A 1653-nucleotide genomic window follows, 5' to 3' on the forward strand; every position below is an offset into this window, starting at 1 on the left:
ATCCCAGCATTTGGAGAGGCTGAGGTAGGAGGACTGCTTGAGCCTGGGAGTTCGAGACCAGCCTAGGCAACATAGTGAGACCCCCATATCCACAAAAAATTTAAAAAAGGAGTTTGTGTTCCTGTAGTAGCATACTTGGGAAGTTGAGGTGGCAGTATGACTTGAGCCCGGGAGTTCAAGGCTAAAGTGAGCTGATGGAGCCATTGCACCCCAGCCTGAGCAACAGAGAGATACGCTGTCTCAAAGGAAATACAAATTAAAAAACCAGCCGGGCATGCTGGCGTGTGCCTGTAGTCTCAGCTACTTGGGACACTGAAGTAGGAGGATCGCTTGAGCCCAGGAGTTCAAGGCTGCCGTGAGCTATGATTGTGCCTCTGCAGTCCAGCCTGGGCGACAGAGAAAGACCCTGTCTCTTAAAAAAAAAAAAAAAAAAAAAAAAAAAAAAAAAAAAAAAAAACTTAGATAAGAGGATGCTGTGCCTCCCTGGGGGTCTTCAGTCACCCATGGTCCTGGCAAGAGAGGAGGGCCAGGAGAGAGCTTCACCCACCTGCTGTCCTGCCCATGTGACATCCGCAGGTGCTGCCATGGCCACGACTGTTGTTACACTCGAGCTGAGGAGGCCGGCTGCAGCCCCAAGACAGAGCGCTACTCCTGGCAGTGCGTCAATCAGAGCGTCCTGTGCGGTGAGTCCCCAGCAGCACCATGCCACCCACCCCGAGTATCCCCTGGGCACCCTGGCATAGCCAGATGACTTCCGTGCCCCTGTTGCAATAACCACTGCTTCCAACTCTCTATAGAACACCCCTTGGGTATATCTAATGTAAGTGATATTTATTTTATTTATTTTTTGAGTCAGAGTCTCGCTCTGTCACCCAGGCTAGAGTGTGCTGATGTGATCTTGGCTCACTACAACCTCTGCCTCCTGGGTTCAAGCGATTCTCATGCCTCAGCCTCCCAAGTGGCTGGGACTACAGGCATGCACCATCACGCCCAGCTAATTTTTGTATGTTTTTCAGTAGAGGTGGGGTTTCACCAAGTTGGCCGGGCTGGTCTCAAACTCCCCACCTCAAGTGCTCTGCCCGCCTCGGCCTCCCAAAGTGCTGGGATTACAGGCATGAGTCGTGGTGTCTGGCCCTAATGTGAGTGATCTTTAACAATGAGGACTTGAAAAAGAAAACCCTGAAGAAACCTAATTCTTTGATGTCTGGACGACAAGGAAGAAGATAGAAATGGCATCAGATAATAAACAGTGTAAATGTTTATCAGAAAGAGGCTGGTGGTCGGGACCAGTAGGAGGATCGCTTGAGTCCAGGAGTGCATCTCTACAAAAAAGTTAAAGGATTTTTTAACATTGGCCAGGCGTGGTGGCACACATACATCTGTGATCCCAGCTACTTGGGAGGCTGAGGCAGGAGGATTGCTTGAAGCCCAGGAGGTTGAGGCTGCAGTGAGCTGTGATCGAGCCACTGCACTCCAGCCTGGGTGACAGAGCAAAACCCAGTCTCAAAAAATAATAATAATAATAATAATATTTTACATAACCAACCACTTCTAAAGATTAAAAAAAAAACCCTACAATTAATTAAAAACCTCAGGTCCCTCAGGCAATCATACCAGATATTGAAACAAAGCAATAACATAAGGACTGCAGTA

Source organism: Homo sapiens, chromosome 16 (genome assembly GCF_000001405.40).
Source record: "Homo sapiens chromosome 16, GRCh38.p14 Primary Assembly".
Classification (NCBI taxonomy): domain Eukaryota; kingdom Metazoa; phylum Chordata; class Mammalia; order Primates; family Hominidae; genus Homo; species Homo sapiens.